The sequence below is a fragment of the Homo sapiens genome, chromosome 18, assembly GCF_000001405.40.
Source record: "Homo sapiens chromosome 18, GRCh38.p14 Primary Assembly".
Lineage (NCBI taxonomy): Eukaryota > Metazoa > Chordata > Mammalia > Primates > Hominidae > Homo > Homo sapiens.
In genome coordinates, this window is record NC_000018.10 from 76,356,982 (window position 1) to 76,372,850 (window position 15,869).

General features: G+C 44.4%; 1 protein-coding gene across 16 annotated transcripts in view, besides 3 other annotated features; it reads right to left on the bottom strand.

The window, feature by feature from the left end:
* ZNF516 (zinc finger protein 516) overlaps positions 701 to 15,869 on the bottom strand; it is a 138,738-nt gene continuing 123,569 nt past the window's right edge. For 14 of the 16 annotated variants that reach the window (XM_047437953.1, XM_047437952.1, XM_011526273.4 and 11 more), the window contains 3 exons: positions 14,486 to 14,590; positions 13,547 to 13,614; positions 701 to 5,576 (listed from right to left, as the gene is read on the bottom strand). In XM_047437953.1, the coding sequence (XP_047293909.1) occupies positions 5,517 to 5,576; positions 13,547 to 13,614; positions 14,486 to 14,590 (233 nt within the window). In that variant the 3' untranslated portion in view covers positions 701 to 5,516. The remainder of the gene's footprint in view (positions 5,577 to 13,546; positions 13,615 to 14,485; positions 14,591 to 15,869) is intronic. The other 2 variants (XR_007066258.1, XM_047437957.1) reach the window with 2 other exon arrangements.
* Positions 4,897 to 5,398: an enhancer, noted in NCBI's record as "H3K4me1 hESC enhancer chr18:74073833-74074334 (GRCh37/hg19 assembly coordinates)". NCBI's record gives its function as "activates a minimal SCP1, AML or CMV promoter by ChIP-STARR-seq in naive H9 embryonic stem cells {active_cell/tissue: H9 hESC(naive)}" and the evidence as "EXISTENCE:reporter gene assay evidence [ECO:0000049][PMID:30033119]".
* Positions 5,399 to 5,898: an enhancer, noted in NCBI's record as "H3K4me1 hESC enhancer chr18:74074335-74074834 (GRCh37/hg19 assembly coordinates)". NCBI's record gives its function as "activates a minimal SCP1, AML or CMV promoter by ChIP-STARR-seq in naive H9 embryonic stem cells {active_cell/tissue: H9 hESC(naive)}" and the evidence as "EXISTENCE:reporter gene assay evidence [ECO:0000049][PMID:30033119]".
* Positions 14,303 to 14,905: an enhancer, noted in NCBI's record as "H3K27ac-H3K4me1 hESC enhancer chr18:74083239-74083841 (GRCh37/hg19 assembly coordinates)". NCBI's record gives its function as "activates a minimal SCP1, AML or CMV promoter by ChIP-STARR-seq in naive and primed H9 embryonic stem cells {active_cell/tissue: H9 hESC(naive and primed)}" and the evidence as "EXISTENCE:reporter gene assay evidence [ECO:0000049][PMID:30033119]".

Here is a 15,869-nt window from a genome sequence, read left to right on the forward strand (position 1 = left end):
TGGGATGTGGCTACAGGAACACCAATAAGCTCCTGTGTTACCAGGGGAACTGACCATTGTCAGGTGACACAGAGAGATGTAGGCCAGGGTTTTGTTTTGTCCTAACACAAGTGTTCTTAGCCCTTCACTTCAATGTCAGCTACCTATTAAGGACTTTGGTGTTGCCACTTCGTTTCGGATGCACGCCCGTCTCAGAAGAACCAGCCATCCAAGAGGAGGGAGGTTCTAAACAGCGAGGCATAAACCTCAGCAGAGTTAGACAAGGTCTGCACTTCATCTAAGGGCCTTTCAGAGTATCAAAGGCCTTCGGGCTTCCACAACAGCATTTTCACCGCAGAGTGGCGCACCCAGCGCAGAGTGGCGTCCCCAGCGCAGAGTGGCGTCCCCAGCGCAGAGTGGCGCACCCAGCGCAGAGTGGCGTACCCAGCGGAGAGTGGCGTACCCAGCGGAGAGTGGCGTACCCAGCGGAGAGTGGCGTACCCAGCGGAGAGTGGTGTACCCAGCGGAGAGTGGCGTACCCAGCGCAGAGTGGCGTACCCAAGGCTAGACGCTCCGGTTGGGGGAAGGACGCCCAGTGCTGTTCAGAGTTCCATTTCCTGCCCAGCACATCTGGAAAGCCACATTCGGGAACTTATCTAGTCTGTTCTTTCCTCAGCCAGTAGAGACACAGTTCTATCTTTTAATTTTAAAACACATTTTATCTTTTTAAATTAGAATCTTTATTGCATCTGATGGTCCTGTCTCATTTTTGCTGTCTCATCAGTAAACCATTGCAAACCACAGTGCCAGCCCTTGTGTCCCCACATTTTTGACACAATAATTTCCTCCAGGTGTGGCTGAGTCAGAATTCCGTCCGCGTCCATCCCTGTGCGTCCTGTATGGGTGACAGTGCAAGGGTAAGAACAGTGGGTGTATTCAGTGGGGAAATAACATGTGTGCTGTGAAAGAAAATGAGAAAAACACAGCGTCTCCATTAAAAAACTGTATGTCCTCGAGTCCACAAAAGAGTTGGAAAAAAACCACTCGGGCCATCTGGGCATCTGTTCAGATGAACGATCTTGTGAATTACCCTAAAACTCTTCCATAAATAAAGAGCATTAACACTTTGGTTTATGTTCAGCCAACAAAAATAAATAACCACAGACCAAAGCGGGCTGTCAAACGATTTACGCCACCCTCTGAAATTGGGGAAAAATGTCTTACAAATCTCAGAACTCCAAGATGTTTTTATTTATTTCAAATTCCAATAGAATGAATATGTTTTATCTAAATATTTTTATCACACAACTAAAACATTGAATTACTTTTTCAGAAATAGTTAAATACATCAATCTAGTTACAAATTCTAATATAAAGAGTACAAAATATAATGTTATAAATTGTATTTTAAAAAAAGAAATACAAATTCTATGGTCTTTTGCATTTTACTGCCTCAAAGCAGAATTAGCAAAGCTGATGAAGAATGAACATTTTCCCTTGGGCGGGTGGCCCTTGGTCACTCCCACAGGCACGTTACCGGGCTCCGGCGTGTGCTCCCACCAACCACGGCAAACAAAGGCGTCCTCCTCACTTGAAGTCCTGGCCTGTGGTTGTTTCATCTGTTTTTTTGCTCAGTGAACAAAACGTTCTGAAATTAGAACTCACCAAAGTTAAAAGCAGTAAAACAACATATGCTACTTAAGACATTTTGAAGCAGAAAGTAAAGCTATGTGAATGCCGTCCTTCCTTCCTTCCTTTTTCTACAGCTTGGAAACCTCTGAGAATTTGCTGGGGGTGGCAGAGGAGGGTTTGTCTAGTTTGAAGGAAGGAATGTTGGTAGACAGTCTCCAGCCACGAAAGCCCAGGAGGTGCCCTCTTCCACACAACAGACTAAGCACTACACCCACTTTCTTTGATCCAGAAAGCATCCCTACTGACCCTGTAACCTACACCCTCTCTGTCCAAAGAACAGAGGCCGACCAGAGTTGCCAGCCTGGAGAGGCACCATGGAGATGAAGCTTGCCCTTTCTGCACTCAACCCCTGCAGCCTGAAGGAGTGTGAGACGATGAAACCCACATGTGCCGGAGCCCCTGCAGAGGTGTTCTCACACCCTCAGCGACCTGTGCACAGTGGCCGGATCAGGGGTGGGGGCCTGTCATACTGGGCGCTCCTTTCTCTGACGAAGTAACTGTATGCAACTCCCAATTGCTACTTCCTGAAGCACCTGCTTTTCAGGGAACCAGTGTCTTTCTTGGTTTAAAAAATAAATAAGTAAATATTGGGGGACCTCTTAAAACACTTAATACTTTTCAGAGCCTCAAAGGCAAAATTCACCTGGCTTTGAAGCCAAATCTGTATGGTGCTGAGAATGAAATCTGTCCGTCTAAGATGACAATAAGACCTTCCAGGGAACCAGGCAGAAAGGTGGGCAGGTACAGTGGCCAATTTCCCAGAGAAGATCCTCAATATCTGACTTTTGAGAGAATTTAAATATTCATTCTTCAAATTAAGGAATACAAGTGAACAACCTGAAAAGATTTTTAGAAGCTCATTAGCTGTGTGTTATTTGAACGCAAAAATGAGGAAGAGATATGAGCAGGAAACAGGAGAGTATAGGAAGGCAGGCCAGGGTGCAGCCAGGCCCCAGCAGGGGCAGAGCGGGAAGCAGCGAGCGGAAAGCAGGGGAGAGACACCGAGAAGCTGCAGTGTAGACAACCAAACCCTTTATTGTCTAAGTTACATTAGACGCAACACTGTAAAAAATCCTGTTAAGAAACAAGGAAACAGCAGATCGGGAGAGGTAGTAGAAAGTCTGTAACAGTCAGAAGACAACGTACAGAAGTGTATCATGCAGAAATTACCATTCGGAAAAAAAAAGGCAATCAAAACGGTGGCTAAATAAATAAGGAAACACAAATCATATTAAATACTATGACCAAATCAACAAATTAACAAACCAACACAATACTGACGATGGGTGGAAGGAAGGGACCACACATCCAGGCCTGCCCACAGCTGGCCTCAAGGGATGGCGTTCTTGGGGGGGCTCCCCAGTCTGTTTAACTGGGTGAAAACCTTCCTCCTGCACTCTGTGCACCCTGCGCGGCCCCGCAAGCTGACTGTCCTCCACGCCTGCTCTCCTGCAAGCCAGGAAGGATCCAGCACGCGGCCGGCAGGGCCCCAGCGCCAGCCCACTCCCCACCAGAGCCTCCAGGATGGAGCCTCACCAGCAAGACACTTCCAGCTCCAAAGGCCAACTGCACTTTTCCATGCCGCTTCTGAAACAGTAAAAATGTAGACTACACTTTCGTGTCACTTTGGGTACAGAATTTCTTTTTAATAACTAAAACACAGAGAAACAGGACTGGGTCACTAGTCCCTGACATTCCTAACAGTCACCATTCACTTTCAGCCAAGAAAACAAAAGCCAGAAAATGCAGAAATGATCACTGTGGGGAAACTACTGAAATGATTAAACATAAATCAACAGAAGAGTCTTCTGATTTCTTAGGTGGACAGAGGAATGTGTCTCCGCAACTTTGCCCAAAATAACTTTACAGAACAGTCAATTACAGTTGTTTAACTGTATCTGCATGGACATTCCTAATTACACCAACAGGACAGATCATTTTCGTACATATCTGGTGTAAGAATATCAGAAAAAAATAAGTAAAAAAAAAAAAAAATATATATATATATATATATATATATATATATAAGCTAGCCAGTTACATTGCATCGTTTGAAAGTGTTGCAAAGTAACCTGAACCGTCAAGTAATTTAAACTCAGTAACAAGTAGAATCCAGAACCAAACATTACTAATAACAATAACAATAATAATAATAATAATAATAATAATATAATAATATTCAACAAATCATTAGAACAGGAAACCCACACTTTAGGGTGTGTGTGTGTGTTTGTGTGTGTGTGTGTCTGTGTTTAAACAAGACTTTGTATCAGAAGCCCACTGTCTACAAAAACTGCACTAGTCCATTACCGTATTAAGTAAACTGTTGCTCTCGCCAGTATTAAAGGTTAGGATAATTTCTGTACATGTAAAATTATTGCTTTTTTGAAAAATATATTTAGCATGCTCGTTTTAATCCATTTCCTGCCTTTACAAAATTTCACAATTAAAAAAAAACCTAGTAAAGCTTTTGCAAAAAATTTCACAGAACATTTTCATTCAAGGCAGCAGTAACTTTTGATAATGCATAAAATCATATGTGCAAAAATCTGAAACTCTCAGAAATATTACCATCACACATAGTGTCACGGCAATGGGAAAAGAAAATATTTATATCTGTGGAATACCATTTCAATTGCGTACACTGCATGGTTTAAGATCCTTTGTTATGGGCCTTAACCCCCACCACAAAAACTCGCATTTGCATTACTGAGGAAGAGGTATATGAAGCCGTCCCCCACCCAAGGGGCTGGTGATCCCCACCCTTTATGAACAAAGTCACTCATCCTGTGGAGGTCACCAGGCCCAGGGAGAAAAGACACCCACTTGCTGGGGTGGCTCAGGGAAGGGGCGGGGAGGCAAAGAGTGGGGACAGAAGGCGCCAGAGCTCAGCACCCTAGTCATCTAGGGCACCTGAACCTGCTCAGGGATTCTTCTGCCATTACTAAAACAGGTCCGAATCGGGAGGACTCAGTGGCTAAATAATTTGTTAAGACGTATAGTCTTCCTTTGTAAGCAGTTTGCAGAATGTAGCCCTGTTACAAAAAGGTCCTGAGAATAAACAAGAAGCCTGCTTTTCTTAGTGTTGCGCTAGCTCTCTTCCGAGGCGGAATCTACGCATTCCCACAGACGTGTCTCCTTTGCCAGATTCGCTCAGTTCGAATGGTGGGAAGAATGGAACAGGCACACGGCCCCAGGGAGGAGTGCGATGGAGCCAGTGAACAATGAGGGTCTCATCATCATACCCCTCCGCCAAGCCTGCTTCCCACAGCACCTGAACGTCACCTCCTTCCTCTCTCTTATTTACTATTTTAAATACCCACTAAGACAAGGAGAGGCAGTAGTATTAATACTCGATCAACCTCAAATCCACCACGTCTTGTTCTGACATCATCCCCACAGTCCCTCTTAACATGGGAGGCCCCTGTGACAGTGCTCAGCCTCGCCACTCTGTCCAACACACACAACAAGTATCTTTTTTTCCAGTGTCTCAAACTTGTCTTGAATAAGACAGATGCCTTGTGCCCCTACTGTGCCTGCCAGTACTACTGTTTATTATAAGAAAATATGGGACTATGGACGATGAGCACGTAAATGCGTATATAGTATCTACATGTATTTCTAGAATATAGCATCTTCATTTATTTCTGAACGTTTAACAAGGAGAGGCATCTGCCTTCAGTTTCCACTCCAGCGCAGCGGCTCGGGATGTGAGGTGTCTGCTCAGGAGTTCCCCGGCTGTTCTTCCATGGAGCGGCCAGGTCACAGGTGGGAGGCTGCTGGGACATCGTGAGGGTACTGCTAATGGCCGTTACGGGGACCTGGGGTGCGTCGGAAACACGCCTTTAGGTTCCCTTTCTCAGAGGCACTGTCTGGACGGTACCTGTGTTAGAATGGTCTCTCCCCTGGGTGAGAAAAAGGAAAGAACAGGAGAAAAGCTCATTTCTGCCTTTTGGTTTCTAAATGCATTTTTCCTATTAATTTTCTAATCAACATCCAAGAACACAAACAATGACCTTCACAAAGCAAGCCAACCAAGTAGGCGAAGACCCCCTGACCTGAGCTGTAACTCATTTCATAAAATGAGCAGCAAGTATTTCAAATGTGCCTTCCTGCCTTAAAGAGAGGCAGCTTGAAAACGAATCATTTCCAGTGTGATTTAGAAAGGATCATTAGGCTTCTCTAATGGTTTCACATGTAAGAATGGCAGATGATAGTGTCTGAACCAGCTCTGGAGAGAAGGTTACAAGTTGGCAAGATGAGGAGGCGGCCAGATTGTAAAACTGTATAGTACAAAGCAGATTTACAAGTGAACGGTAGTTCCAAAACAAGGCTGAATTTGGGGGTCATACAAACAAAAAGAAGAGCACGGCTCTCACGTAGGTCTGTCAGAACTTCAGAGCGTGTTCACCCATTTCCATAAACAATTACCAAGTTGGAAAAAGGGAAGGAGTATTCTAAAGTGAACTGCGAGAGAAAACCAAGCATAAATGGGGGTCCACAGCTTTCAGAGAATGCTCTCCAATGACATTTGAAGCATCCCTGTTTGAACAATAGCATTTACAATCTGAGGACAGAAACAGTATGGCCAGATTAATCTTACTTAACTGCATTAACCTTCAGCTAAAATCTTGATGAAGTGAAACTGACCAGTGGAAATTAACATGCATACATAAACTAAGGGACTCGTGTAAAATTCTGTTTCCAGCTATGCCTATAGGAACCCCAGAAATAATGGCGGAGTGGGGGAAGGTCTGGTTGACATAATGAATTAAGGGCTTTTCTTTAGTTAATAGTTCCAGAAAACTCCTACTTACAGCTGGCTCTGTGTTTGTGACATCTACCAGTTGGCATGTAGTGGAAGTCAGAAAGATACTGGACAAAATTTTACGAGGGGTTAGGGGGTGGGCAAAGTGGTGGAGACAGCAGTTTATTTGAAATGTAGGAAACAGTAATGGAATGAGAGATGTGATAAAACTTCCCTAAGTAGATGGTGAATTTCCTGCAGTAAACGGACAAAGACTGTTTTACATTTTTGTACAGTGACGTCAGGCCGTGAAGACATCTCTGAGGTTCTGATGGGAAATATTCATCATCAACAGGGCTCACTAAGAACCAATTCCAAATACATTCTGGAAGGAAAATGGTCTTCGTGTTTACCAAAGAAAACTGGGAGTTATAGTTAGCTATTGGGTGTTTGGCCTTGACCGTCTCTGCATAGCAAACATAGACGTCAGGGACCGTAAGAGGCGGGCAGGGGATGCCTGTGAACACAGGTGCTGTGTGTGCCTAGATTGCACATGGACAGCACCCCCAGGGCACATCCACCTGGGTAGCTCTTCTTTTGGACCAGAAGTCACAGACTTGCATTGGGTTAGGCATCAATGGACTGTTCCAGAGGCAACAGGAAGACGGCCCTCCGTCCATGAAGGGCTAACGTTTTATATTACAGGGCTCAGAAGGCTTTAAAAATATTTATTTTGGAAGCACTGCAAAGTCGGGATAAGCCAAACAACTAGGTGGTTAAATTGTGTTCACAAATCCAGATGCAGAGACGCCCATTTTCTCTTCATAACTGAAGGGATGTGTTCCAATACCTCATTTTTTTAAGATAGTTGCTTTAAGTTATTGATTCACCGGAGGCCACCATGTTATTATTCAATAAAGCAGCCCTAGAGCATTTTTAAGAAATGAATAAAACAGGGAAGAAAGGAGGCAGAGAAATATTCAAATTAAGTGGACACACTATAATCTTTTGAGCACGCCCACCATCGCCTTGTCTTCCTGGAAGGGAAAGAGTAGTCAAAACATGAGAAGCTTTCGGAAGATTTCGCTTTTCTTTTCTGCAGCTGTGAACTGTGGGCTTTTCAGTAATGCTGAAAGACATACTATCTTTCTTGAAGGTATTTCAGTGTTCTAGGGATGGATATTGACTACTGGGACTTCACGAGGTCCACTTTCTCTCTTTCTTTTAGTAAGGCAAGGGAAATGTGTATGTAGTGGTGGGTGTGGATCGATGCCCCGCACACAAAAAACCTGCCATGCCCCAGGACACACGGGGCACCTCTCGGCCTTCAGAGGGAGGTCAGCCTGTAAACAGGGCTTGTGGTCAGCCACGCAGGCAATGCTAAGTGCCTGAGGACCAATTATGCACAATGCTTTACTGACTAAAACCTTTACCCAACAAACCATAAGTAAACAAAGGCTATGTGACTGGGGGGATTTTGGGTAATTCGCCAAGTCTAATTCATGATTTTTGGTAGCATATTATATTTAGAGAAAATGGAAAATGTGTTTTAAGATGCTTGTTTGGTTTAATAAATAAGAAAAGCTTAAGCAAATGAGCTGAATTTCAAACTCTGATCTGTGATGCTGAGACTCTGAAAGTGATACTGAAAATAGATTATGCATATATTCAAATGTACCAACCTACGTGATTTCTCCATCATTTGCATTATAATAGCCACAGCTAAAAATGAGACAAATTAGGTCGCCATTTGTTTTTTCATTTCCTGTTATTTTGATTAATGGAATTATTTATCCAGCTTAACCATTTTAAAATAACATTTAGAATAATAAGAAATAAACTATTAATCATAGTCTTTAAATTCTGGCAAGGAATCCAAACAAATCAAAACACCAGATTTCATATTTCAGCAGACATTCTGGTCTTTCAATAAATCCCAAAACCACGAGGTTGGGGTGAATAATTTTTCTTGGTTTCAAAAATCATTTTAATTTCTAATGTTTAACAACAATGCAACAAAAAAAATCAATTTCTCTGCAACACTAAAGAAACTTCCTAGTTTTTCCTCTAACATCCACAGGACAAAACACCCAGATTTCAACATATTGTTTTCAGAAAGTGTTCTTTCTAATGATGAATGCTGATGATTACTAGAAATTAAACATTTATTCAGTTGTGCTAAATGGATGACCAAGCATCTTTTAAACGACAACATGCATGAGCTCTTTCCCTCATTTAGAATTTGATTTGGAGGATCAGCGGTCCTTGATATTGGAACCATCTTAATCCAAAACACAGTAAAAGCACCAAGGACAAGCACCGGTGCCACCGCCGGGCTGGAAGAATCACCCACAAGAGCGGATGCCCTCACAGCTGGGCTCCTGAGGCCCAGGGCCCGGACCCTCTCACCATCTTCTAGCTTGTCTACGATCGAGGCAAAAGAGTGAGATGCCTAAAGGGGTGTGCTGTGAGCATCCACAGCCTACGGGAAGCCCTGTTATTTATCCTCCATCTCTGCCTTCCAAGGCTCCAGGCATCCTTTCCACCCTTACCACCTACCAAAGGAAGGTGTTCAGAAAGAAATGGCTGCTTGACTATCTGGTTTTCATAACCTCCTCTACAGTCTTCAAGTATGTGTATATAACATGGAAGAGGCTTAAACAGTGCGTGTGCTGAAAAAGACTGCCACTAGTGTCACCACGAAAGGAAACTACTTTATTTCTCTTCAAGCTTCAGGTGTGTGCTGATCAATTAAACTGACTTTAATTATTTATTCCTGATTCTAACCTATGGTGAATTTAATCAATTTCAGCAGATTTACCTGGCCCTCGTGCCTGTTGAATTGTTTTGCTGAGATAGACGGTATATCACAATTTCTCAGAATTTTCCAGTATAGAATATTCAAATATTAATATGACAAAGTAAGGGCAGTTGTTCTACAAAAACCAACCATGTCTGTCTACCAACCGGAGGGCTTTTGAACAGAATGCAGCAAATGAGGTAACTATGCCTATCTTGACAACACTTTTCTCAAACTCACGGTTTTCCTGCATCCTCTCTTTAATGAATAATTAACGACAAGTCTCTTAAACCAAACAAAACAAAGAGAAGCACGCTGGCAGGTTCCGACAAAGCCACAAGACACCAAGTAAAGAAAACATGCCATCAAACTGAGTTCATAAGCAACATCTACCAACTGGCTTATCAATGACAGCCATCTGTCTACACGGGCGTAAGTATGTGTGTAGATGTGTTCACGTGTGTGCTCACCACAGAAAGGCTCTCCAAGTATGTGAGTTTCCTCCAGTTATTAAGGAAAATTGCTTATTTTTAGACTAAATGACAAGAGGTCACACTGAATGTGTGCTCTGTGGTGTATGTCCTAACTTGATTTCCACAGCAAGTATACAAAATAAGCACCATTATCATTATTTTACAGATAAGGGAACTTAGGTTACATTATATGTCTATGGTAGAGGATCAAAGTTAAAGCCTCTACTCAATAACCCAATAGATTATATTATCTGGGTCTCTCAGAGTAGAACTGGCTGACCTTCAATGAATTTAAATGTTGACAGCTATTAGATACAGTCTCTGCCAGGATCTCTCCTCTCCACTATAAACCCGTATCTTCGCCTGCCTATTAGACATTCCTACCTGGGTTTCCACAAAGCTCTCAAACTTACCTTGAATTCTATCTGGAAATGTTTTATCCTGCTCCTCCTTCCAGCCTCAGGGGAATGGGTCATCCCTGGGGCCAGCTGCCTGAAGCCAGACCTGGGGTCAACACCATTCCCTCCTGTCCCTCACTTTCCAAGCCCAATCCCTCTGTTCTAGTCCCTCAAATCTACCCGCTCTCTCCGGCCCCATGCCAGCTCAGGCCACCTTATCTCTCGCTGGGATCAAGCTAAGCGCCTCCAAAGACCTGCTTCTGCTGCCGGGAACCACTAAGCCCATTCTCAGTAGCGTGTGACCTGCTCATTCTTCTCAAGCTACAACTCTGACGGTGTCAGCCCTGCCTAGGGCTCTCTATCCCCTGTGGGAAGAAATTCAGAGTCTCAACAAGGAGACCTGGTGCTCTCTAGACCCCAGGCCCGAGCCTCTGCCCACCCACTCTGGCTCTCCCTCCGTGAGCTGACCCCCACCCAGTTCCTCCAGTGGAATGTGTTCCTCCACTCCGGGCCTTCCACGTGCTGAGCTCTTTAGGGACGCCCATCCCTCCGCCCCTCCATAGTCTTCCAAGCGCCTCCAGCCTCAATGACAGGGCCCTTCCCATGTCACAGCGCTGCCTTGCTCTGCCCTACTTCCTGTCTAAGCCACCCATGGACCTTTTGAACCAGAGAAGCAGGAAAAATGGTTATCTTGTCGCCCCAGTATCCTGCACAGGCCTGGCACGCAGTGGGTGGTCAATAAATATTGTTAGTAAGTGAATAAATTATTATAAAATGGAATTTCCAAATACTGTTTCAATTACATAATGTAGCATCTATTATGTATATCTATAAAAGTCCATTGACTTTAAGTGTCACATCAAATAATTTCTGCATGAATACACGGTGTTGCATGATCAAAAAAAACCACAGCCATGATCCCTAGCATCTAAAGCCCACAGGAAAAGAATCCGATTTAAATATTAATGAATGTTAGCAAAGCACGCTAAACATGAAAAAGAACATGGCTGGTAAGTATGAATCACATTCTAGACATACATAACTACAGAATGTTTTCTATAATCTATAAGGTATCTTAAATTTAACACAGCTATTGTGGTTTCTGTAAACAATGAGAATTATAGGATAAGAACAAGGAACCCTAGGATTTAAACCTCTACCTATTACTGATGTGTTTTGCAATTATCCTACCCAACAAATCTCTATAGGAATGCTTATAGTTCCAAAGTACGTTAAGGAAAATGGAATTTCCTTAGAGAACTCTGCAGAGCATTCAGTGATAAATCACCAAAAGCTACTTTAAATGTAATGAAAGACAAAAAGTACCATCAGAGGCCATGAGCTCAGATATGGAATTTAACAAACCAACTGCCACAGCAGGAGACGCATACAAATCTAGCTCAGTTTTAATGCCAGGCCTGAACTGCCACTGTCCTATGAATGAAAGGAAAGCTCACCCACCGAGATCTTCACACCAACAGTTAATACACAGGCTAAGTCTGAAAGCCACATTCACTCAGACCACAATATTGAGTTACTGTAAACTTGAAACTAAGAGGATAGTTGGTATGAAGTATAAAATAACAATATTTTAGTCTAGAGAGACAAAGAGAACAATATAAGTACATCTTTTCTATATCAGAATCAAGAATGAGTAACAATTATTATATTGTTACTCATATAATAAAATTATTATAAACAACTGGTTATGCTGGGGCATAACCAATAAGTAACACAGACATTATTTAAAATAGTCTAAATGATTTGCTTTTTGATCTCCTATTTCTCCCTGGGACAAGAGTTTTTCAAAGAGGCTTAGGTAGAATTAATAGGCAGCAAATAAACTGACATGCATTCCTGAAGAATCTCACCAACTTGTTCCTAGATCCACCTGGCCTGGCTTCCCGCCCCTGTCAAACATTCCTACCCAAAAGCCAGGTCTTTGGTGGGTTGAACGGGTCACCTGTGTAAGCAGGAACACTTGGCACTCACTCCAGTTGTAACATCAACTTGTAATTCTCAATTACGGCATGACCTTGCTCTTACTACATCCCACAAACACATCACGGTGACTGTTTGTGGCAAGAGGGTTTTATTTCTGTTAAAAAGGACAATGCTTCCTAACTGCAGTGGAGGTCATACACTTGGAAATCTTTTCATTCCATTTTCAGCAAGATGTTTTACTTACTTATTTCGTAAGTTGTCATAGTATTGGGTAACTATGGGTTTTATTAAGAAAGGCAGAAGCTAATTATTTAAAACCTGTAATAAATGGCAAGGGTTTTTGTCAACAATACATGAAGCAAAGGCCTTTAACAATACACAGAAATTCCAACAAGGCAAAAAAAACAAAAACAAAAACAAAAACCGAAATCCCTCATCAGGTAATGTCAATTCTACATCCAGCCCAGCTCAATCACTAATTAGCAGTGGGTCCTTGGTGAAGCCATTTCATGCCTCTTATCTTTTTCCTCTAGAAATAAACTAGAACGATTCTCGAGTTCCTTTGAGACCTCACTAGATCATAGAGTCTTGAGATCCCTTGGAGGTCTTAACTGCCCTCATCCTCACCAGCAACCAGGAATCCCACAGACAATTAGATATTTCAGCGCAGGGACACAAACTGAATTCCACCACCCAGACACGGCTTGACTCTCACGGCAAAGAAACTCTTTCCTCAATGACAAAGGGGAGAGTTTGTCTTTGGAGAAAGCCAGAATGTTACTTAGAGAATGCTTGTGCAACACAGGTGTGACGTCCTCCAGGAGGGCAAAATGGGAGAGCAATGAAAATACATACTCTCAGCCTGAGAGAATGCAAGAGACCCGCTGCGGGCTGTGGGTGCCTCTCTACTTTAGAGCAGGACTCAGAACCGTGTGCTAGTGCCAGGGTCCCACACACTCAGTGTGTACTGAGTCATGCATGTACACAGGTCACGCCTGGATGGTAAGGTGCATCACAGACACAGGCACACAGCTACTTTCAGGCACTCTGGCCTTGCCAGTCGTGTTCGTAATGCAGAGAAACAAGGCACAAAGCCGCAAGACACCACGCTGGACACGAAACTTTTCTTACGGAATAACACAAAAATAATGTTCTTCAAGGAGGTTAACCACAATTTGTTCTCAAGCAAACTCACATCCAAAACCATCTTGGAAAAACTGAGTTTCTAGTGTTTGCAGTCACCGCCAGTCTATCCCGACTTCCTCCTCCCCAATACAACCAACAACCAGCTGTGTGCACCTAGACCCTGCACCACCCGGCTGGGAGGACCTCTGTGCGGGTACTGCCCACAGACGGCCCCGAAGGGTCAGGTTCCAAGTCAAAGCATATAGGATTATTTACACATCTAGTGAAAAAAACAAAAAGAAGGTCATGCTTCAGTGATGAGCATCATGGTGCACCTTTCCCAGCTACCGCATCGAAACCCAGACATCCAATTCATCATGAGACCTACTTGTTTGGGGGCGTCTGCGGAGGTGGTATGAACTTCAGAACCCCGAGGCCCATCGGACTCAAACACCACTGTGGGAACAAGGGGTTTGTTAACAGATCAGCGTGTGAGCTTCCGGACGTGCACATTAAATGAGTCCATTACAGATTAAGTACTTCCACAAAAAAAGACACCAGCGCCTAGCCTGTGGCTGGAAAATACCAATTTACCGTAACACTTACAGTAAGAGACTGTGATAATGGCTGCCTGGGGCCACTGCCCTTTTTAATTCAGACCTCGCTGCTGAAGAAAGCAATCACTGACAACATTAATTATCGGTGTGTGTGTAAGGGACCCTCTTCTTGCATTACTTACCACTCGGCCTGTGTCATCTTGCATCAGACCAGCTTCTGTGTGCATCCTTCACACTCCTGATAGAGAACCCCGTCTCCCTGTCTCTCTAATGCCCCTGCGCTGTCCTGACAGTTTCCAGCCCGATCGGGTGCAAGCTCTCTACATAAGGGCTGAGGGATTTTGCAGTACATCCTGCATGGTCCAAAGGGGCCCGGGTGTATCCCACAGAGTCCAGTCAGTGCCAGTGAGGACACAAAACCAAGCCTACGCTGTGCTAAAAGGGTGCTTTGATTAAATGTGTGCTGGTGGCAATGCCATTCATTAGCATATTCATTTCTGAGGAGTCAGTTACTCTCTAATTAAAATGGAACATTTGCAAACAGGCTTATCTCAAATTAAACCACATGGCACATGGACACCAAAAAAACCCATTTCAGGTGTGGAGTGGGGGCGGCCTGTATACGATCCCGGAGGCAGATGGCAGGCCCCCCGCCGCCTGGTAGGGGCTGAAATCTCAGTATCTCCCTCGCTGCGGATGGTCAAGCCACTGACAGAAGAGACCCCTCTTCCTCTGCTCCCCTTGGGGATAGCTGGGCGGGAGGGCGATACCTGAGTGTGCCCGCATGTGGGCCCTGAGGTGGCCGGGCTGGTGGAAGCTCTTTCCGCACTCGATGCAGACGAACTCTCCTGGCCGGGCCTGCGTCCGGAGTGTCCCTGCGGTGGCGAGGTGGTGGTGGTGGCAGGGCCGTGGTGGGGTTGGCGTGGAGGTGAGGAGGCAGGAGAGCGAGGGGGAAGCGAGAGGAAAACATCATTAGTCTGTCTAATGTGTCATCATGTGAGGCTCCCTTCAGGCCCTGGTGACAACTGTCAGCCTTCATCTCGGCTCTGCTGACAGGCCAGGCACTCTCAGGACTGCAAGGATGCATAAATTACAGCGAATTAAAAACCACTCCCTGGGACAGGAGGTGCCCGCCAGGCAGCACGTCGGGCTGTGCAGCTCCGAGCAACTGCAGGCTGGGCACAGCCATCACCCGGCTCTGTCAAGCAGCACATCCAGCAAATCAGAGTGACACCGGCGTGACAGAGACGAGGCTCATGGAAAATAGGAAGTGAGCGGGACCAGAGCCCACCGTGACCCGGCCGCGATCCTGGGAGACCCACGCAGAGTGAGTGCGGCCACAGGGTGGCCCCACCTCTGGCCCTCTCTCCTGCCTGCCTGGGCAGCTCTGAGGCCCCGGCCCCCAGAAGGGAGGGGACACCTACAACCACCAGGCAGCAGGCCCCCAAGGTGCGTGCACCTGCTGGCCATCGGCAAGGGGGGAAGTCCCCAAGTCCCACCTTTTCCCCAAAGATCATGCCACATCCCTGCACTCAAAGGCCGGGCTTTGTGTTTCCTTCTGATCCAAAAAGCCACACGACTTTGATTAGAAAGGGATGCAGAGAGCGTTTATTTGTCTGCACAACTTTTCTCTCTGAAGAAAAGGCTTGATTTCCATGTGCTGGCAGCTCCAAAGAAATTTCTCTGGCTGGGAGAGTCACTGTTATGCGCAATAGTAACTCAACTCAGTAGGAAAAACAAAAAAAACAGAAATAATAACTAGAAAAAGTTACACCTGTTGCAGTAATTTTTTAAAACGCTGCTTTATGCAGCTGAGTTTTTATGTATCTAAAGGCTGACACCTGAGTGTGAACAGCAAATGAAGAGAATGACAAAAGGCACCTTAGTCACACTGGTTGAAAACAAACCTTCAATATTGTTTCTCTTACCCTAATTCAGAGTAGCTCAATAGGTAAAAACATAAAATCATGCTTACACTATAGATCATGTTTATGGAAATAAGAAATGCATGAACTGTGAGGCACATCTTGTCAAATTTCTTATATGACAGATCATTAACATGAATCAGAGAAATTCAACAACTTAGCCACCGACTACTCAATATTCCCATTGCCTTACATACACAAAAGGAATAAGAAGAAACATTTCAACCAA